General features: G+C 37.9%; 1 protein-coding gene and 1 long non-coding RNA gene across 12 annotated transcripts in view; one reads left to right on the forward strand and one right to left on the reverse strand.

Annotated features, from left to right (window-relative positions):
* Positions 1–15,510, forward strand: part of STARD4-AS1 (STARD4 antisense RNA 1) — a 227,501-nt gene extending 211,991 nt beyond the window's left edge. Inside the window, exons 3-7 of the long non-coding RNA NR_040093.1 lie at positions 3,729–3,850; positions 4,321–4,544; positions 5,275–5,464; positions 7,565–10,630; positions 14,088–15,510. This is a non-coding gene — a long non-coding RNA (STARD4 antisense RNA 1). The remainder of the gene's footprint in view (positions 1–3,728; positions 3,851–4,320; positions 4,545–5,274; positions 5,465–7,564; positions 10,631–14,087) is intronic.
* NREP (neuronal regeneration related protein) overlaps positions 4,586–23,452 on the reverse strand; it is a 248,131-nt gene continuing 229,264 nt past the window's right edge. For 8 of the 11 annotated variants that reach the window (NM_001142476.1, NM_001142477.1, NM_001142480.1 and 5 more), the window contains 2 exons: positions 11,214–11,291; positions 5,087–6,830 (listed from right to left, as the gene is read on the reverse strand). In NM_001142476.1, coding sequence (NP_001135948.1) covers positions 6,705–6,830; positions 11,214–11,291 — 204 coding nt within the window. In that variant the 3' untranslated portion in view covers positions 5,087–6,704. Of the gene's footprint in view, positions 6,831–11,213; positions 11,292–23,452 lie in introns of all 11 variants that reach the window. The other 3 variants (NM_001142474.2, NM_001142475.2, NM_001142478.2) reach the window with 1 other exon arrangement.

Here is a 23,452-nt window from a genome sequence, read left to right on the forward strand (position 1 = left end):
TTTCTTTTTCTACTTGAACTTAAATTTTTATTCAACTTCCTCCAAAGATCTTTACCTTAATGTAACATAATTTTGTTTGAAAATACTGCTTACGCTATCACATGTATCCGCAATTGAAATATACCTAAATTCAATTTTTTACTTTTATTTTGTTACCATAAAGCTCTGAACATTAAAAAAATTTATGCAATTGAATTATTATCAATACACTACTGATTAAACAAACATATTATTAAACACAAAAAGTAAAATTATATTGCAAATGCATCCTTTAATGAGATGATAAACTTTTTTCAGTTAGTTCCTTTATCTGTAAATGAACATTACTTACTGCTGAAATAAGGGGTCAGTATCAATTCTATTTCTATTTTTTTTTTTTTGTTTTTATAGATGTAAGTTGAAGGAATTGAGAGTGTTTTATTATAGCAATGTAATTCAGTTCTTTGAATTCCTTCTATGTTATATGTCAACATTTGTGTAATGGTCTATTAGCAAAAATATTTTTAATCTTCGGGCACATGACAATTTGATAAAGTCCTTCTTCATTTCTTTTAAACAGTGAACTAGGAAGCACCTGACTAGCAAAGAGATTTGTTCTCCAGCAATTTGAATAATTTACTTTCTCAATTTCTGGGAAGTATACCAAGAGAGCTTTACTAAGATTCATCAAATTATTGTTAATTGTGCTGTAACACTTGTACTTAGGCCCACCTTTTAAAACCCGTATCACCAGAAATGGCAGGAAAATCAAACAAATTTTTAGTTTTATTACATGTTTGCCAAAACAATGCTTTTTGATAAAATGCTTTGATCTTATTTCTTGTTTTAAATGTATTGCCACTAATTTGGAGTTGCAGATTTAGCTCATTTATGAAAAATATCTGTCATAAAACCTCATTGGCAGGGCCAGTCTTCACTGTCAAACCAGTCAGCCAAATCAGATACACTTTCTGTGAGAAAAAGTTTTTCATTCTTCAATTCAAATAGCTATTTTGAGGAATATTATAAAAATCAATGAGAACTAAAAGTATATCTTATGAAACTGATCACTAAAAACAATTAAGATAAAGATCTAATATAATTGATTTTTCCATGTTTAAGTTATAAAAACAAGATGACCAATACACTATTTCTCATATAAAGCAGGAAAATGATAAAAGGCATGGTATATCTGTAGTAAAATTATGTACGGGCATTGAATACTGCTGACTGGCTTTGGAGAATGATTAAACAAGAAATATGTTATAAGATAAAATGGTAGAAACAACTATAGTTTGAGTATGTTCCCCAAGTTTCATATGTTGAAAAATTAATCCTCAAATTCATATGTTGATGGAGTAGACCCCATGATGGGACCCAAGGCTTTATAAGAAGAGGAGGGACCTGAGTTGAAATGCACTTTTTGCCCTTCCACCCTTCTATCACAATTTGAGGCAGCAAGAAGGCCCTCACCAGATGTTGAGCAAATTCCAATGTCAGGCTCTTGGACTTCCCAATCTCCAGAACCATGAGCCGAATGTTTCTTTTTTAAAATAAATTATCCAGTCCGGTGTCTTGTTACAGCAACAGAAAATAGACTAAGACAAGAATTGAATAAAATTGAATAAATGTTTCATGTTATGGTTTGATACAATGGGTTCTGACAACTTTATTAATGAATGCACATCAAATCTGAAAGAACCATGTGAAAGTTTTTATCCTTGGGTTCTATCTGTCTACTGCACCTTATAAAAATTTGGCATTCCCAAAAGCCATTCTGGTTACATTTAAAATAATCAGCATGGCAAATCTATACTGCTTTAGCTCTTCCAAGTTACTTTTTTTCCCAGTCAAGATACATCCTAGGGAAGGATATTGACAATAATGGGAAATAATTGATTATAATTATATGTAAGAAGACATTTTTGGCATTCAGTGCCTTCTACTAATTTTCTTTGTTTCACTCTCCCATGGCTTTCCCTCAAGAGCAAGAAATTCTTTGACAAGAGTCAGGAAGAGAAAACCAAAAAGCCGTTAAAAAAAAAAAATTGTTACCATCACTCCACTTTATCATACATCTGAATTCTGAAAATCTATTTGTGAGTCCAAACACCCAATTTCTATGTTATCTAACATCATAATCAGCTTTAACATGTGTATAAGAGGCAAAAGCCCAAGGCTCTATGGTTTTATGATTAATCATCAAACCTTTCCTCTGTTTGCTACATCTGAGGTTTTTGGTGTCACATTAAGAGCAATGTATTAAGATTTGGGATGGGTAGCCTATATCTTTTTTCTGTGGGAAAAGAAACAGTATGAACAAAGACTCATTCTCAGCAGATCAATTTAAGGAAAGAGTATAGTGTATATAGAGGATCTGGAAATTAATTTCCTGAAAATTGTCCTGAGTATGCAATCCGTGAAAAGCCTTAGGTACACATACCGCAGTTTGAAAATTATGAATTTATCATACCTGCATATAGCTTAACCTGACCCAATCCAAGATTGTTTATCATGTGATCTCAATCCCTGGAGGAGGATGATCAAAGGATTCTAACGAGGGCCCAGGGAGGTAGAGTTGGAATTGCAGCAGAGAAGTTTTGAGTAGCACTGAGGAACCTCTGATTCCAATGTGGTGTTCATGATCCTGTAAGTGTTCCTGCTATCAAAAAATGAGTGCAAAACGTCCCCTGGCCCTTTGTTGGTGAAAATAAGTGCAGCACCGTCCTCCCCAAACCAGATGATTAGTGTTGCTAACTGCCATACCAACAGAGGCAAGCAGATGATATAAATAAATGAAGCAGACAGGATATAAGAAAAGAGGTGATGAGAGTTTGATAAAAAGAGAGGACATGCCTCATCCACAGGTGGAGGCAGCTATTCACCTCCAATCCCACTGTTGCTATATTTTCCACTTTTCTACCTGGATTTTCATGTGAAATCGCCTGAGGCAATTAAATCAACATTGTTATACAACACATTGCAAAACAAATCTCCAGGTTATGTCTGCTCAATGGTTGTTAGCAGTCTCCTCCCAAAGGCAACCTGGTGATATGTTTGCCTCTGGTGAGAGAACAAAGCAGTCTTGAATCAAAATTTGGGTCTTCTGAAGTGAGCCCAGCTATCTCTCCACTTCTTACAATGCTTCACAAAACATTGCTGGATCCTCACACGAATCTTTCAAGTTTAAAGTGCAGAGTCAATCATTACTTCAAGCTTTCTGGAGGCTGAAGAATTGTCATCAGCAACCTCCACAATCCAAAGAGTTGGATGGAACTTTAAACATCATTTATTCCAGCTCCCCTGTTTTTATAGCTTCTCATAACATTCTCTAAATATTAGTATTGGGTCTCATTGAACTTGGATTAATAAATGGAGGCTATGGAATCCCAGTATTATAGTTCCTGGATGCTCTCCTCATACGCCGCTTCAAAGGACTGTAAAAAATTTTCAATAGAAAGAAGTAGCTGTGATGCTAGTTTCAGCCCTTCCTACTTGCAGACCCTGACCTATAATTACCTTGAGCTCTTCAACTTCAGATCATGTGCTATTTTTAAAATATATCCATAAATTCTTTGGTATTCCTTTTAGGAGGTGGAAACTAATTTCCTTCATCCTTGAGTGTGGGCTATACTTAGTGACTTGCTTCTAATGAATAGAATATGATTGATAGATGATGGTGACTTCTGATAATAGGTCATGGCATTTTAGCTTGCTCCCAGCTTTCTCTTGAATTACTTGCTCTTCAGGAAGCCAGAAGTTATGGGGACACTCAAGCAGCACTAGGGAGAGGCTCATGAGTAGAAGAACTGAGGCATCCTGCAAACAGCCATGGACTAACCTGTATTGGGAGCAGATTCTCCAGCTCCACGTAAGTCTTCAGATGATGGTTTTTTTTTTCTTTTTTTTAATAAAAAAAAAATTTTAAAAAGAAAGGTAATTAAATTTAAGAAGGACTTCCCTTATTATATCAAGAGGTTAATACTCAAAATGGTGGTGTGTCATTTTTAAGAATTTTCCTTCAGAATGAAATTCTAATGATCTGGTAAGCAGTTAGTTAGAATTTGGTTCTGCCCTAAGGCTCCTTTCTCTTAATAAGATTAAAAATTGAGGGTAAATAGGAAACTTAAACAAAATCTGAGATGTGCCATTAATTTCAAGTTAAGCTCAATAACCCCCAAATGTAAAAGTCCTTCCTGACATAACACACATATCAAGAACCAAGATTTCTCAGAGAGAATCTGATGCCCACTCTCTCTCTAGAGGCTAAGCTCCCACTGTAGGGGCAATGTTACCTGTTAACTTTAGCTCTTTTTTCTCTCTCTGGCTTTTATCTCACAGGTCTGTTCCTTAGTCTCTGTTGAGGTGAAACTCCAATATCTGAACCCACCAGCCAAATAAGCAACCTGTGTACAAGCCAAGTTAAAATTTCACTCCCGTAATGGATGAGGAGAAACCAGAAGACATTTCTCATGCACAGGGAGTGCATGAATCCCCTGAATTGCCAGGTTTCAGGGTCACATGAGACCTCTAGAAGGCTCTGCTCATCATCACCTTATCATCTGGTAGGTTCCAGGTATCTGGGTACACATGAATTAAGCCTTAATGACTTTAAATTCTGTCTCAAATTTTTATCCTCTTACAAAAGTTTAAGCTTTTTGTCTGAGGAAAAGTGCACATATTCCATGAAGAAGGGAGGTCAGATCTCTTTTGGCAGGGAAAAAGAAAGAATACCACAGAGTGGGTCTTAAAGAATACCACAGAGTGGGTCTTAATGGCAAGGAGTGAGAAAGAGTAAGTTTTGAAGCGTATGGGAATGCCTTGGAAGGGAGAAAAAGTGTAGAAATAAAAGGATCTTGGTCTAATTCTGCTTTGTGTCCAGAGGCAGCTCTGCAAATACCATCTTAATGAGCCACTGCCTAGCCCCTAATCTCATAAAATCCTCAAAAGGGAAAACGCATGAAAGGCAGAGCTGATTCTCTCTCTTTTGATATTTGCCCTTGGGTTTGCTGGCCTGACTTCTGGGGCTCTGGAAACACATGAATTAGCAAGAACCAGAGAAGACATTCAAAACTAGGCCTCTTCAATGATGAGCCAAATCAGACAGTTACCTTACAGCTTGCGTATTTATTGAACAAATACTACTAAAATAGCTAAAATACATTGGGTACTTGTCATGAGTGCATCAGTAAAGATCACACTGTTACAAAAGCCTGCATTTTCAGCAGTACACAACTGCAACTCTACATAAATGCCACAGATGCAGAATACTGTTTTCTTGCTCTATTTACACAGCTGATATACCTATTCTAACGAAGGAGGGAGAGGAGTAATGCACAAGAAACTCAGGCCAATGGGGGAGCAAGAAGAAAACGAAGAAGTGCAGTGCATGCGTCATCGGTGTTTAACAGTCAGAAGCGAAACAGTTCAGAACAAGGCCTGCCCTGTCAAAAGAAGAGCTAAAGACAGTTATATAAAAATTAAGGTGGGCTTTCAGACTGGCTAACACAACAACATTCCATGAGTAGATGGTAATTTATTTTTGTTTATCCATTTCGTTGGGAGCAAGGACAAAAATGTAAATCTACACCTTGCTTATCAAAATTGCCGAAAAAAGAATGCTCTGCCTTTTAAAAAAGTATCATGATTTTGTAGACCTTGTTTTCCAATTTAATATTTGGAAAAGGTGTCATTTTCATATTCCCACTCAGATGCCAGTGTTTTGGGTTTTTTTCCAGGGGGAGTTTATTTAAAACGGTTTTGCTCTTTTTTTCGACAAATATCCTTTCAAACAGAAAGAACCCAAAGAGACACCTCAAAATGCCTGTAAAATTATTGCTTTTCTTTCTCTAAGTCAGGCAGGCGAGGCTACGGAAAGGAAGAGATTTGGTAAGTAAATTACAGTTTTGTGATTGCTCCCGCTACCGTGACTGCATGTCCGTGAGCGCCAGCCAACGAGACAATGGTCTCTCACACTCTGGTAGCATTCGCTCAACCTACAACACTGAGGAAGAAAGCCACACTGAAGACACAAGGAAAACAAGTCAATCCAGTCTAGAGAACAACATTCAGGGAAACAGAGTACCAACACCTTCTTAGAACATGGAAATAAAAAATAACTCCATCAGAGCTACCTCGCCAAGGAGCATGTTGAAAGTCCAAAATAGCACCATTCATCAGTGTCTCAGGTCCTGTGGCAGCATCTCGGTCACTTACCACAAGGAAACAATGAGTTTCAAACTACTTCTATACATCAAAAGAGTACATGGATAAAATATAGAGATATACAGACAATTGATGAACATAAACTACTAGGTTTGTTACATCTAAATGAAAAAAAAGGTGGGGGGGGGACTCTCAGCCTCTGCAAGAAGCAGTCGGGAGCTGTGTGAGTGAAAAGGCAGGAGTGGACCGGTTGTGTGAGCGCGGTGGGAGTTTGAGTTGTGGAAGACATTGTTGTAGCGAACCAGGCCTGAAGGCCCACCTGTAAGGGTTGTAAACGTGGATTCACAGTGTGAAATTCTGAGCGTTTTCACTTGAGTCAGAATGATTAAAAACTGGTTTGATGACACCTATTTGTCCACTGTAAATTCTCTAAAGCAAGGCTCAGAGTCCCATAGTTTCTTCTTATACTTGATGATTTACACAGAAAAAAATCCCATATATGATACCATGACCTCATCAATACCCATACACCATATGTAATACAAATGGAGGTGTTACGATTAAAAAAAGTGGAGGTAACTGATTCTTGGGGAGCGGAGTTCACTGCTGCCCAGTGGAGTCAGGGAGGCAGCGTTTGTCTCATCGTTCTTCTTGCGGTTCACTTCCTTTGGGACAGGAAGTCTTCCCTGCAAAGCAGGCAGACCCACACACAGACAGACACACATAAAAGACAAAATTAGTCATGCTTCTGAAACCATTTTTTAAAATTTTGCTTTTCCTGCCCAGCCCACATTATACCCTTGAACTCTTGCTGTTTTGCAAAACAGAGTTTACATATTAAACACAGTTCACCTGAATGTAAATATTAGGTCTGTGAGGAAATGAAGTAATTAAACACTGGCCACCTTTGCTTCAGTAGAATGAAGTGCTTCTGTTACGGTGGTGCCAGCCATGTGTGAGGCAGCATTCCCCAGTGTCAGGTTTCTTGGGACAGTTTCTAGTATCAGATAGGGCCCAACCTTAGACTGGGTGATTGATAGATACTCACAGGAGTGTCAGTTGATAATTATAAAAAAAAAAAAAAAGAGTCCAGTGGGTGTGATGAAGACGGGTTAACAATCTATTTTCTAATATGTAATAAAAATATTTAAAAACGTATCTCAACTTGCATCAATCTTATCTATGTATGGCTTATTCTATGTGCAATCGGCGCATGACAGAAGTGGCTACCAAAGATGGGAAGTGTCTGTCTGGGAGAGAAATGATGTGAGGGTGCCCAGACAGCGGTCATAGGAAAGTGGGGGCTAGTGGGGAAACCAAGGCCAGAAGAGAGTGAGATTCAGCTCATCTAGACTGACTGGGGCTATTCTAAGGCTCTCCTCACAATCCTGATGAGAAAGGTTTTTGTGTTTCTGACTAGAATAACTCAATCTCAGTGTGACTACTGATCCGCCGCCACGTGGCTTCCCGGACACACTGCTGCAGCGCCAACAGTGGAGAGGAGCTCTCCATCACAACCAGACAGCAGAAGCACAGCACAGTGAAGCACACCTGCCCACATGATGCACAATACAGGTATTCATTTACAACAGATAGATTTTATGCCCTGTACAGGTATGAACACAGTGAAGATTTGACGATGGTCTCTCTTTCAGCTGAACTCTGGAGTTTTAATTACTGACATTTTCTTGGAAGAAATTATCCTTTGTGGTTTTAAAACATGTGGGCTTTTTTTTTTGTTGCTCAAGTCACATGTTCTAACAAGACAGTTTTAATAAGCCAGTTTGACTAGATGTAAAGTACTTGGATTAAAGTGATAATCTTACTTTGTGGCCTATAAATTAACACATCTGAATTTCTTTTTAAGAATTCAGAAACCAGTAACTTCCAAACAACTTGAAATTGAATAAATATTTTCAGCAACCCAGGGGTGAACTAAATGCAACAGATTATTCAACTTTAAAAAGTCTTACTTACTGTACAGATTTTCCATATTAAACATCTGGTATGCCTCAATTTTTTACTTAAAAGTCTCGGACTTTGAGAGCATACAGCATTTTTTGCACATATATAACCATGATGTACTTTAATATTCCAATCTTAGGTTGTGATTTTAGAGGTTGTTTTGGTATCATTAAATACCAATGGGACCAAACCAGAAAATTAAATAAAAATATAATTCACCACTCACACACCCTTAAGGGTCTAGATTCAATTTCCAAAAGCATAATATTGGGTAGTTACTTGCAGTTGTGAAAATAATTTCAATCTTGGAATCTTGGTACACAGTCCCAAAATTTAAAAAAAAAAAAAAAAAAAGGAAATCCACTGTAATCCCAGTGTCTTTAAAATAATGCTGCCAGCCCGACCCCACCTCACCCCACAGTCAACCAGTTACCATGGTTCAGGATAGGACAAACTTAGGTTTTGGACAAATGAAGAGTTCAATGGCTGTTAATTGTCACAGGCAAGAAAAGAAGGAAAACCAAAAGTTGATAAATGTTAACTCAACAATTATAGTCTTTACACAGCTTGCCTTAAAACTGCTCCAGTTCAGACTTACTCTGTTCAAAAGTGAATATACAGAACGTTAGTGTATCTCTCTATTTAAATCTCAGTCTCAGTACTAATCTTCTACCTCCATGAAACATACACAACAAAACAAAAGGAAGAGCTAGGGATTTGGGAAGAGGCACTTCCAGAAAAAAAGAAAGTGACGATTATTTCAGATTTGAATTTACCATTTTTACCATTTTTTCTGTTTCAAGGTCCCAGATAATATACATTTCTTCATTAATTATTCATTTTCTGAGTGCCTACTATGGCTGGAGTACTCTATTCGATTTCAAGCTTAGAGAGAGATTGAAACAGAAACAGTAACAGTCCCTGCCCATCTCACCCTTCATTAACTTGCTGTGTGGAAGACAAGCATACAGACTGGACCCTCATGAGGCAATGGTAGTAGGGCCCACAGGGAGGTGTGCTACTGAAGCACCCTGAGGGCCTGGAGCCCACCATGCCCGTGGAGAGAGGTGCTCCTGAGGAGACAGAGTTCTGTGCGTTCTCCCTATGGAGTCCTGCATTTACTAGATTTCAATCCTCTTCCCCTGACTGATTTCAATCCACACACCCTCCCACTATTTTTTTTTTTTTTAAATAATAATAGGCTTTCTGCCCCAACTAAAGGAATTTTAGGCTTCTGCAACAAGTGGAGGAGGCATTTTGAAGATGGGACACAAAGAAGTCTTCTTTCTCCAGATCCAGAAGTCAGGCCTTGTAAGAATTCAAGCCAAAAAAAGTTCATCCATGGGAAAAACGGTTCTTCTATCATCCAGCACGTATTTGTGCCAACAGAGCTGAGGGACTTGAGTAATTCAAGAGGCTAGGGGTTGGGGGGCAGATGTGTCCAGTGGCTCCCACAGCCCCGCCGTCCTGAAAGTCACGCCAGTTAATGTGCCTCGGGGTGGATCAGCCCTCCCGACAGATGACTACTAGGAAATTAATCCCCAGTTAATAATGTGCTTTGGACCAAGTAAGTCAAGATTATTTTTCCTACAATTATACAAAGATATGCTTTTCCAGAAGGGAACTTCTGGAAAAAGAACAAATAACACTATGCTTAAAATATTATTCACATATTTAGAGAAGAAAGAACTTAAAATAGCAGAAGACCTGAATACCATGATCCACGGTGCCCACCCCTGGGAGCATGTCTTTGTGTGAGACAAGACCTAGCACAGCAGGGCTGGCTTTCTAAGGGTACGGTGAGGCACCACTGAACTCATCAAGGAACTATGCCTAGTCTTGCCCCTCTGGTTTATGTCACCAGTATCAAAGAGAGAGGACCTCTGGATGCCTGAATGAGGCAAGAACTAATGTGAAGGCCTCAGCTGCCTTAAGAGAATTATGCCCTGATCTGGCACAGTGACGAATGTCTGTGGTTATACTGCTCGTGCCGCTGGTGTGCTGCTGGTGAGGTGGTGGGGTGTGGGTGTCTTTTAAGGAAAGCGCTACTATTTTAGCTCTCTTCCACTCCAGCTCTACAAATCAGTGCAAGTCTAGTTCAGGCAGGGTCAAACCATTTTGTTCACCTACTTTCCTGCCAGTGATTTCAACCTTGACCTTCAAAAATGCTCTGCAAGATTAAAAGTGATTTAAGATTGTTTTCTTTCAGTGCAAACTGCCAGTTGATACAACCTCTTCAGTTTCTGCCTGCCAGTATAAGATAGGGAATTGTTGATACTATTTAGTGTAAATAAAATAATTTCTTAAACATTGAAATACCAGTAACAGCTGGGGGAGGACTCACCGTTAGTCAATTACACTTATGAAACTTTCAAATAGAAATTTTATTTTCAGTGGATTCTGTTTTTCTTTCTTAACTGCAAAATCAGCAAGTCATTGGTTAAAAAGTATACTCTCCCCGCTTGAAGTCAAACAAGTATTCACCCTAAGAGGCAAAGTCCAGTATCTACAGTAAAAACTGGTAAGTAGTTGTTATTGTTTGTTTCAGAAATTATGCTAAAATCTAAAATATAAATTTTACAAATTTTCTTGAGGCAGAGAACTGCCACACCTAAGATGTCAGAACAATGAAACCACGTTTATAAAAAATGGTTTTTAGGCTCAAAAATTAGAAGAAAGAAATGTAACAGTTTTTTTGTTCCTCCCTTTTGCTTCATGGATAATCTTATCAGACCTTCAGACTTCATTAGCAGACAATTAATAGTCATCATACTTTTAAGAAATCTTTTAGTTTGATCATTGTATTTGAGTTTGTCTAACCAGAAATGGAACAGACTTAAAACCTGTAAACTGTACTTTGATAAACTGATTCCATGTTTTAAATGAAAATTTTTCATTTATGAAGGAAGATAATGTGAACTTTAAGTCATAGGACTTTAGGATATTTTTTAAAAGTACATTATTTCCAAGGTCATCATAGTATCAGATTAATGGATTGTTATAGCAGCCTATAATGGGTATTCAAATGAAAAAGCTCTGATATTTTAAAACAATTGTTTCTATATTGAAAATAGTGTTAACAATATGGCATCTAAGGATCTTACCTTAGGAAGCCTTCCCTCCATGTCCTTGTTTGGAAATGGTTCTTGACTGACCCAGACAAAGAGTTCTGGGTAATAAACCTATAGAGACACAAAAGCATACACATTCAGATTAAAAACAGGATCCACTCTGAAACTACACGGGATAACCTTAATGAGCTCAATTCTCCTCAATGGTTACTTATTCCCGACTACCACTTAGAGCACTGGGGAAACCATTAACTCTTTCAAACTGTTAGTGTGCTTCTGAACACGCACTGCACTCAGGAGAGTTTCAGCTCGATGTCTTCCAAGATTAAGTCCAATAAAGCAGAGATATCAATCAATGTTATTTTTAGCAGGCAAAGTAGCAGCTTCATGGTATGTCTGGCTGAGTGCACTAAGTCATCGGGGAGGTCTAACTTTCAAAGGATTCTATAAGTATCCTTGCAAAACTCCATCAAACACTGTTAAGGGTTATTCTGATCATTTATTAGAAGGCCAAAGATTATGAATAAAATAAAAGAGGAAAGAAAGCAGCAGCCCAGATTCTCTCCAAGTCCATGTGGCCAGTGACAACACATTCTGCCCAGCTGCCTGAAACAGCCAAGTGTCTGAGGGAGGGGCGGGAGATAGGTGTCATCACCATGAATGATTCAGAGAATACTAGCTGATGAATTCGGTGGTGGGAGGGGGTGGAGCGAGGGAGTGGAACTGAGTAACTCTTCTTTAAATATACAAAGGATGATTAGCATAAGGTTGCCGACCAGCTGTTCTCCATCTTCAAGTAATGACAGGAGAGGGGAAAGGCCTTAAAATTACAACTAAGATTTGGGTCAGCTCTAAGGAAGAACTCAGCATAAGAATTGTCAAATTACTAAAAGAAATTAGAGAAAAACTGTGAAATCTTCTTTAAAAAATTTAGAAACAGAATCCAACAACCATCTGTCAGGGCTAATTCACATTTAATATAGTTCTGATTGAAAGCAGAGTGAAATTAGGTAAGATTCCCTCCAGATCAGATTCTCCAAATTCTGCAATAAATAAGCCTCACATTTAATAAACAACAATTAAGAGTCACACCTCATTAACAGATTAACAAACAGACTTAGATGTGTGTTTACATTTTGGTTTTGGAAGCCGTAATTGAGGTAACCTAATCATTGAGTTGACTGTAATGCTTGGTATACCCCGATCAATCCATTTTGTCAGGGAATCTAGGGTAGGAAATGTAGATGGCTAAGTGTGTTCACTCTTCGGAATAATTGAACAGTAACTAACTATCTTTGCTCTACACCAGTGACATTTGTAGCACATCCTAGCTTACAAAGCAATTTTGCATACATTACTTAATTTGTCCTGATGATAAGCCAATAATATTGGTCTTATCATTAAACAAATGAAGAAATTGAAACTCAAAAAGGTCGACTTGCCCCAAGTCACACAGGTAGTGTAGGGTAGGACTGAAACTCACACTAGGTTTCCAGATTCTAAACTTCAGTTCCTTCCACTATCCTGCTGCCCTCGCATTATCCCAGAATGCAAATCGCCTACCACCACTCCCTCAAAATTATACCAGTCCACAGCCGCCACCCACGTTTGGGTCTTAAAGAGAGCTCATTCTGCAAGAGCTAGAACTATTTTCTTTTTGGACTGGGTCTGTTTTCTGAGCCATGTGGTTCCCCTCACCCCAACCACCTTACTTTTCCACATATTCCTCTCCTGTGCCCAGCTCCTTCAGAAAGTAATCCACCATCTGCCTTGTTTGGGACAAGCAGCCACTTCTGACATTTCCTTTATCCAGGAATGGGTGAAGAAAACAAAATAATCTCAAATACACAAGCTTTTTTCAGACTTATAACAAAGTCACAGCACACAAAAGCCCAGTTTGGGCTCAACTTTAGGGGACCCCAAGTTTGAATCTACTGTTAAATTCACTTCATATAAATGGATATAAAGTGATTACATTTCTATATTACCACTTTAAAAATCATATTTCAAGTACAGTCTTAAAATATTAGTGAGAAATTAAGTTCTGTTGGAAACCAAAAACGTTGATAAAAGTACATGTAAAAACTTTGTAGGCACAGGAAGCAAAGAAAAGCAAGGTCAGGTAAGTATTGTCATTCTTGCGTTCTTGTGCTTTTCTGGGATATTCCATTTTAACGAAATGACACTGCTTTAACATTTAACTTCTAAGCATCATTACTAAAACCACCAAAGTCTAATTTGTAGGGGAAAATAGCTTGCCTTTCAGAAATTATTACACCTATTCTAACAATCTGTTGTTCTAAGAACTCTCCATTTGCTAAAAAAAAAAAAAACAAAAACAAAAACAAAAAAAAAGCCAATGACTTTTGCCAAAGAACTTGGGAACATGAATATCTGACAGCAAAACACACATGACTAAGGAAACTTTCTCCCTTACTTCATATTTGTTACACTGACCAAGGCTTTTTTTTTCACTATTAGGCATTTTTAGCACATTAGGCATTTTTTAGTATTTGAATCATCAAGTAATCATTGTATACTTTTAGAAAAATGAACGTTGCTTTGGCCTTCTGGTAGTTTTCCAATCTCCTTCAAAGTCAGAACCTTAAGCCAAAAATGGCAGGGACAGAGGAGTCTCAGTTACATTCTTAAAACCTGCTTGGCTGGTATCTAAGAACTCAGCATATCCCTAGACATAGTACCTAAAGGAGATATTTAAACTTTTCATTTTTTTAAGCACAGCTAGTTTTAAGAAACCGTGGTAAATTACTGGAAACAAATATGATCTATCTGCATTACAGCATTGTTCTTTCTTATACCTGCAGTATTTTGAGACTCTAAAGTGAAGAGCTTAAGAGAAAAGATCTATTGACAATCATTAATTACCTTTGCTCTCAAATGATTCAGACCTGACCTTTGGTATTCCGCAAGGGCCTGAACTTCCATTCCATTCCCAGTGCTGGATGTGGAGAATGGGTGATCCCAAGCAACAATCATTTGCCTTTCTGTCAAAAGCTGTCTCGGTTTAAATGTACTGTATTTTCTTTGCCTCTTCTTCTCATCGGAACATGTTCTAGTCTACTCGCCAGGTGCTACTTCTGGCAGTCAGAAATAGTGCCACTTTTCAACTTCAAGTTTCTTACCAACCTTTTTTGCATTCATGCAGCAAGAGTTCATGAAATAGCTGCAAAGTGCTGGACACTGTTAGGTTGTGGGAATTGCAAGAGAAACAGAGTTTCTGCCTTCTAGATGCTCACGTCTGGGGGTGGGGCAGGTACAGCAGGGGTGATCAATCCACAAAAATTTACTTTTAAAAATGTGTTATGGGCTGACTTGTATCACCTCAAAATTCATATGGGGAAGTCCTAACCACCAATACCTCAGAATGTGATTGTATTTGGAAACAGGATCTTTGCAGAGGCAATTAAGTTAAAATAAGGACATCATCAGGGTGGGCCCTAATCTCAAGTGACCCATGTCCTTCTAAGAAGAGATTAGGACACAGATACACAGAGGAAAGACCATATGAAGACACAGGGAGAAGACAGCCATCTACAAGCCCAGAAGGGAGGCCTCAGAAGAAACCAACCCTGCCAACATCTTGATCTCAGACTTCCAGCGTCCAGATTGTTAGAAAATAAATTTCTGTTGTGTAAGCTGCCCAGTCTGTGGCACTTTGTTATGGCAGCCCTCGCAAACTAAACACAGTGTGCTTTTTAAGGGCAACAACAAAAAAGAAATATATAGGTTAAGTCAAATGTAATAGCTGCTGGAACATCTATCAACAGACTAAACAACAAACAAAACCAACATTTAGCATAATATCCAGTAGTGCTGTCAACAAAGGAAATGGGGGTGGCAGTGAGCACATCTGGGAGGGCATTTGATGGCTGTCAGAATCAGCCAAGGAAGATGATAGAAGGGTGAGGGATAAGTGCAGAATAAGCTCCATGCAGGCAAGTGGCCCTGTAGCCAGGTCTCCCTGCAGCTCCTAGGGGCCACAGCAGTAACAAGACCCACATGAACCCATGAGTTTCTGTGCCCTCAGTTTTCTAACTAGTTCAGAATATTAGGAACTGACAATGACCCTATCACTGAAGCTTTTGAGTGCTGATAATATGAGGGTCAGAAAACTGGTAAGCTGATCCATCTATCTAGAGTCCATCTGTGCTTGCTGAACTGTAAAGCTGCCCATTCTTCTTGGTGCTCATCAACTGACACTCCAAACATGGACACGTGGCTGATACTGCATTCCATTCATTCATTGTCTGAATTCAAGTTTGTGTTTTTCATGAAGGCCAATTAAATTAACTTTCTTTTTGACACTTCATTGAATTCTCTATTGTTGTTTCGGTGGTTTGCATCTAGAAAATTTAAGCGTTCTGGGTATGGGAATACCTCAAAACTGTTGTTTCATTAAACAAACCAAAGTTTGCATTAATCTTCACAAAAAGTATGTCTTCTTTTAAAACTGCTTTTTCCATGTATACAATAAACAATTGTTTTTGCCCAAATAAAATCCTCAAAACCCTCTAGAATACTATTCTTCCAGAAGTCTATTAGAAAATCAGAAAAGCAAATCGTACCTTCAACAATTGAGAAAACAAAAATGCTAGTTAAAAAAAAAAAAGTAGAGGGAAGGAAAATTTTGTTACTTTAATTTGGAGAATATGCAACAGTTTTGTTTGAATTCTGGGGAAGTTTGAGTGTTTATACTTGTCACTGAATATATTGGTTAATGCATCTTTTTCTATGATGCTATATTTATCTCACTGACAATTAGGTTGAAAAACAACAGAACGTCATAAAGAACCACACTGGTTTAAAATATACTAATCATGACTTGTATTTAGATATCCTTGATCAATTCTTAGGAAATACCAATTTTATGCTTTTGGGTATAATTAATATACTTAAACCCACTATATATTTAAATATTACTTATAGTGAAAATGTGCTATTTCGTACTGATTCTCTTGAATGTATTGATAGTTGGGTAAGTTTCAATATTCTATCACAGCATACAAATTGGAAATAAAATACTCAGGGTTTTGTCCCTCCCTTCCTTCTTTCCTTTCTTTTGAGGCTTGTTTTACTCTTTGGACAGTGCATCATGAAAAATAACTGCATTTTTAAAGTCTATAAAGTAATTAGCTCACCGGTAATTATTGCTTAGTATAAACTATTATTAATAGCTGACAACTAGTGCTCCAAATGAGAAAAATGAAATGTGGGAAAATTCAGAGACCAGTCCCCCAAGGTCCTAAAAAATATGCAAACTAGATTATTGCTTAAATTATTTTTCAAACACTTTTTAAGCTTTTCATTTCAAAATTTGCTATTTATTTTTCAATGGCATGGTCCAAATACAGAATCAATCTAAAAGTTCTCGGACATGTTTCCTATCACTTCTACTACATTGCAGGTAAAATTTGAATCATATCTACTTATTACCTGTTTCTAAATTTGTATTTTCCTCTGTTCATTTACTGTCTTTATCAATATTTCTTTGGGGAGACTGTTCTATGAGAATGATACTTAAAGGCAGGATTATATCTTTTTGCAGAGGCTAAATACACCACACACATAAATACTGCTTACTTCATTAGTTAACATACATTTTCAGAAATCTGCCATGAAGATATGTTGCATGGTTTGGTTGTTAACGACCATAACTGTAATGTTATTCTTTATCCCTGATGGGGTCCTATAGGGTTAAAGAATGCACACACGGGTCCTTTATAACTTAACAGGATGGGTATGCGTATCTGTCTCCTGCAATTAGGAAAGCCGACTAGGGCAGCACGGGTCCAACCTGTATAATCAATTCTTTCTGCAGCAAAGGGGTATATTTCATAATCTTTCTGCCAATTAAATAGTATGTGTCTGCATGTGTACATGTTTTATTCTGCCTAACTAGCCAGGAGGTTGTGAAACCTAGTACTGTAATTCAAGGAGAATTCATGCGCATATACATACACTTCCTTTCTGCAAAAACCCTTTGAGGTGGTGCTATAAAGAATCTCCCTCAAAAGCCACTCTGTTCCCAGGTGTTACTGGTCATATGAGAGGGCCAAATGTAAACTGAAACCATAAATGAGCTACAAGGATCATTTTCTCTGAACAACATTACATCAAAGATTAGATGGTGCCAAAAGATGATGCACTGTGCTGTCTCTCTAGAGACGTAGTCTTAGAGATCTGCCTAACCTTGTGAATGCTGCTTGGAGAAGAAGCACACAGTGGGGAAAACACGTTGCCACTGGAAGACAAAAAGGTAAGCCTGCAGAACACTGGGCCATTCAGATGATGTACGTAACCTCTGCACATTCTGGAAAGCAGAATAAAAGTGCTGGGGCTTAGGTTGGCAAGCATTCTGGCTTGGGGGCTAAACGAAACATGCACTGACCTAATTTAAACACACACATACACACACACACACACACACACACACACACACACACACTGGAGCTGGCTGTGGTAACAATGGGTAATTACAGAGTATGCATTATGAACACCCAACTACTGCACTCTAGACTCATAAATGCCCTCCTGCTAGAAAGGAAAGGAAGGCCTTTGTGGCACCTGCTGACACTCCTTGAGTTTCATTGCCTGGTAAGTCCTTAACATGTACAAATAGAGGTTGGGGGAGACAACTGTGTTTCAATAAGGAAGACAATGATGGCTCACTAATTGGTTAAACCCATTGGCATTAGCTTCGCTTCGGGTGTGTATTCCCACTACGGGCACAGAAAGCGTTCATATTTTATTAATATTATGCCACAGATGATGTTACTGTCCAACATTACATGTCAGGAAGGCAAAAGATTTACAATTCTTGATCTTATGAGTTGGGGTGTCTGAAACAAGCTTTGCAGACTTTAATAGTGGAATCCTCTAAATTCACTCTGCTCATCGTGAAGCCATCTTGAGAGGCCACTGATGAATATGTGGGAACCTGACAGCTGTGGAATTTTATTTCTAGACTTTAACTAGGCACAGAAAGGAAAAGGAAATCTCCTTGCTGGCAACAAAATGAAAGTGTTTACATGTGAAATTAATCGTCAGCACAAAGAGCTTTCACAGTCACTCTGTTCCACAATGTAATATTCTGCTTGTTTGGCTGCTGAGTGTTTTAAAATTTCATTTCTAAGAATAATAGCAAAGACTTTCAAGGGGGGCAAGAAATCAGGTCAGGAGCCAGCCACAAAAGGTTAACAGAATTACCCGACTTTTCTTTTTCACCACGACTTAAAACCATTCATTACGTGAGTTTTCTGGGCTTTGATGGTACATGGTTCAAGGCCAGGTGCAGCAACAGCCAGCTAATTCAAGCATAGTGAACACGGAGGTCAGCTGCAAACATTTACGTTGTGCAACATCGTGTTCCTCTCATTCCAGCCCCATTCCTTTCCAATAAGAGCACATTTAGCACAAAGCAATCCACCTAAAGACTCCATAAATCCAAAAAAGGGAGTCACTGATCGAGGAATTCTCAGATTTCTGCCAAGGCACCCTCCCTTGGACTGGAGGTCAGCCTGGTACAGTAATCGGAGCCAAACTGTGGACTGGACTCAAGGAATTAAGTTCAGCACTTCAAATCTTGACTTTTAATGGGCAATTTTTCTTTTCAGCAATGAAGAGAAAACAAAGTACAAATGGCTGGTAACAGCCCAAAGTAAACCAGGAGAAAAAGCACAAGAATAAAGCTTGGATACAAATCTTATAAGTAATATCTAAGAGCCTTTCCAAACAATGGGAAAAAAATAAAGCAGCCTTTTTAAAACTTGGTTTGAGATTATGCAGTTGTGAGTGAACAATAATAAAGCAAAGGCCACAATACAAGATAGTTGCTCTCTTTAGTGAAGAAAAAAAAAAAAATCAGCCTTTGTTAGCTTGCAGCAAAAAGGCCCCTCAGGCATTTAAGCACTGCATAAGCTTTTCTTTGCCCCTGTGACCTCAAGAAATATATTAATTCAAGAAATATGTTAATAAAATCTTTTACCTCCCTGGAGTGGAACCAGAATAAATATTTACTTAACACATCTGAGTTCTAAGTCTGGCCCACCTTATTCCATTATATAAATTGGTTTTAATTTGTAACTAAGAAATTAGGAATATGACATCTTGTGATGTTTCTCCGACTTTTAAGATATATTAAGAATTTAAAAAGAAAGAACAAACTTGAATACTAATTCTATATTATGCCCCAGCACACCAAACTGCACTTGTGAATTTTAGAATGGTATTATTCACCACAATTGAGAGTAAAAGCTGTTGATATGCTTTCTAATACTAGACATCTGGAGTAGCAGGGCTTTTTCCAAGCACATTCCAAGGTTAATAGGAAACATCTAGACTTGCTTTTATTAGCTGGTTTGAATAATTTTAAGTTTGCTATGCCGAGTTTCACCTTCAAATAACTATATGAAGTTTAATTTCTAGTCACCAAGAATGCTATGTTTTCTTTCCTTCTGTCCAAAAATTACTGTGCTATCCACTAAAATCTTATGAAAATTTTCCCCCAACAACATGAAAGAATAATTATTCAAAAATACGATTTCTTTTGTTAAAGCCTTCAGTTAAGGGCTGATGAGGTAAGTATTTATTTAGACATAGGATTTTGGATTTTTCTTGGTCTGGGTGGATGAGATAGTTAGTTGCTTTGAAGAGTCTGAAGCGATTTCAAAGCATTCCTCTTGTTGACATGTGCAAGACAGAGCTTTCCAGAAAGTCTGCATTTTCCCCCGAAGTGCTCATTCCAAAAGAAACTATTCACTCTTTCCATCAATGTATCCTCTTCTACTGGTAGCTGCAAACCCTTCAGCATTTAGCTAAAGTTATTTCACAATTCAATGCTTGTCTTGCACTGTCCTGGTCATTTAAAAACTGGTATCTCTTCAATAGCAAATAGTATCATAACAGACCACTAAATTTGGAGGGAAAGTGGTTTCTATTGCAGATGGATGTAATTAAAATTGGTGTAAATCACAGGGTACAGAATTCTTATCTGGTAAGAATTCTGACTTTTTTTTAAAGAAGAAAAAATATATCCAGATCTGTATCCACATGCTATTTAAATGCTCAGGACAAAAAGAAGCCACTAAGAGGCTTCTAAGAAAACTGTCAGAAAACTAAAAGTACAAGAGGAATGGAATAGGGTTAGAATGGATATGCCCCTGCACACCACCTGGGTTTTCAACCCCTCTGGGTGGAGCCAAGTCTGATTAAGTAGAGGGCTTCTCTCTGATGAGGGATTCAGTCCGGCAGTACCATGTGAGGCAGAGAAGACTGAAGGGAGGAGCTCCCAACCCAAACAGATGTGTTTCAGGGCTAGTTGTCACCCAAGAAACACAGGCTTCAAGAGTTGTGAAAATCCAAACTAGAGGCTTAAGTTCCCTAGAAAAAGAATCATCGGTAGTTTAATATGAAAAAGGTAGTAGTGGAAACTCAGGCTTTCATTCCAAATTCTGACTGTATTCTCCAACAAGAGAAGACCTCAACCATAGATTTTTCCCCTCAGTCTTTCTTCCATTGTAAACCAAACACCACAACTATACTTCTCCAAAAGAAGGGAACTATGAGCAATAAACAGGAGTAGTTGGAACCCACAGAGACAGAGTATGTAAATTCGGGAACCCACAGTTTTCTGTAGAAATGCATAGTACAATCCACTATAATGTTTTGTTAACTTTGGGCAGGTTTTCCAGGTGCACTCATTTAATCTTCACAATGTTACCACAAGGAAGAAATAAACCCAAATATATATAAAGCGCTGGCAACAGGATCAGGCACATAAGTAAGCAGATCTGTGTTAGCTACTATTATCATCATCGTCACCATTTTACAGATGAGAACACTGAGGGAGAATAGTCAGGGAACCTGCCCAAGGTCTCCAGTGTTCATGTGTTGCTACAGTCCTGGAGGAAAGACCAGTCTTAGAGTAACAACTTTGGCTTGGCCACATTAAGACTTTGGATCTAATTAAACCCAAGCAATACTAGTAACCACAGTTTTTTTCTTTTTTCAATGTTCCCTGGAAGGAAATGTCCAGCACAATATAAATATGTAGCATCATTGCAGCTAATAACAAAACGCATTTGCTGAGAAACCAGATTGTTTTATATGACCCCCAAATGAACTCTCAAACAGTTCCTTCTCAGATGGCTACCAATGGACAATCTAATTCAGTATAGCTTTCTCTTTCATCAACTGCATTTGAAATCCTGTTCACTATAACTTTGCTTTTCGAAATGTTAACTCAATTTAAAAACAAACTGCTTAGTTAAAAAATATTTTATCAATGATCTGCAGACACACAAACCATATACTGCATAAAAATATGAAGTGTTTTTGTTCCTCTCAGTTGAAGAATATAAACACTTTTCAGACAAGAGAGGCAGTATATAAACTACTAAGAATGATAAATTCAGGAAGAAAAATAAATTTAACCAGACTCCATCTGGAAACCTTTAATTAATGTATTAGAAATCCAGCCAGTTCTAAAGATGGACAAATGGAAAGATGCAGATGGGGCAACAAACTAATTATTAACATCCTAAAGGTATCAAATAGCAAATAATTAGGTATGCTGTATTTGATCCTCATATTGCAGGTAGAGTACTGTATTCAATCACAGTCAAAGATGTAGTGACCCTCTGACTTCATCTAAACAACATAATAGCTCATCAATTTAGTAAAAATTCACAATGATTATCAGATGAATTGTTTCTATGATGCAAAGAACAAATTTAATTGGATTTCTGATTGAATTGATTGATTATGCCAGTGTAGACAGTCAAGCCTCATATAGTAAAATTAAAGTTCAAAAAGTGGTTATCATTTTTTTTTAAAAAAAGGAAAAACAGGTTTAATAAAGATTAAATGAAAAGATGTGGAGACTTGTCTCCCAGACCTTGATAACAAGATCAAAACAATTTAAGATTCTATTATCAAGAAGTAAAAAAAATATGCAAGGCCAGGGCATTTCATGGTATATATTTAGACCCAAGACTCCACAGGGCAGTAAGAAATGGAGACTCAGTTCTGGTCCACAGCATCCAGGCTTTGGAAAAGTTAAATCCAATTAATAAAGGACTAAAATTGTGAAGATAAGGGCTCAGAGATATGGACAGAATTTTTGATCCTATATTAACTAAATTGGCTAGGTATATAATCTCAATTACCCAGTCAATAAAGACATATTTACTAAGTACATTCTGCAGGTATTGAATATTTCATAGGCAGTTTTTAATCCTATACAATTAGCATCTTATCAAAGAGTAAGTCCCATTAGTTTGGGCTGGAAATATCAAAGTAGCAAAGAAAATACTTTTACAAAAAGATTTTTTCAAACTAAGCCACCAAATCCCCGGAAGTCTACTCAGGAAAGGGGTGGGCTAGTTCATATGATTTATCTATTCAAATTCTAATTCTGTTAACAACACAACTGAAATTCCGATATTGCATGCTTTTAAACGGTGGGTACATTCCCTGCACAGCATTCATTCTTTAAGCTACTATTAACTGAGTTCCTCTGATGCAGAAGGCACTAGGTTAAGTGTTCAACCATGTGCTGCCTAACCCACATGGCGCACTCATCTACTGACACTCAACAATGTCTGGCAAATGAGCACAAGAACAGACTTTGACATCATGGTCCCAATGAGCCTTCTGGGTGGCTTTCACTAGGATGACTGAGTGGGAGGCATGAAACAGTACTTCGTGGAGGAAATAGTTAATATCAAACCCTTACTTGGGTCATGTTTATAAGCACCTTAGTCAATAAGTTTTATCCATATAAATACTGACTAGTTTTCCCTTGATAGTCTGAAAGTTGGCTGGCAAAGAAGCAGTATCTTCTCCTAATTTCTACTCTTTCCTGTCCAAGAATAAGTTATATATCAGACACCAACTTTATCCAATGAAAGCGTCCTCAGGATGCCTGGACCCGTTTTAAACAAAACAACTTTTGTAGATTTCTCCTTGTTCAGCCACTGGACTGTAGTACTTTTCCCTGCTGGAAATGTATCAAACTCAATTCAGCAGGAAGGCTGTTACCTGCTCCAGTAATCAAAGGACATGGTGTGTGATGGTGATCTGAGTAAGAGCTGGGATGGGGGAGAGAAGAGCTGGAGCTGGCAGCCACAGCAAAACTTCTGTGCACATTATGAGTCTCCCTGTTGTTTTAATTACCTATTGGTGAGTCTTTGGCTTGGCATTTTTATTGGCAACAACTACTTGGCTACTCCCCCTTCCTTTTCAATCAATGG

This window comes from Homo sapiens, chromosome 5 (genome assembly GCF_000001405.40).
Source record: "Homo sapiens chromosome 5, GRCh38.p14 Primary Assembly".
In the NCBI taxonomy this organism is placed as follows: domain Eukaryota; kingdom Metazoa; phylum Chordata; class Mammalia; order Primates; family Hominidae; genus Homo; species Homo sapiens.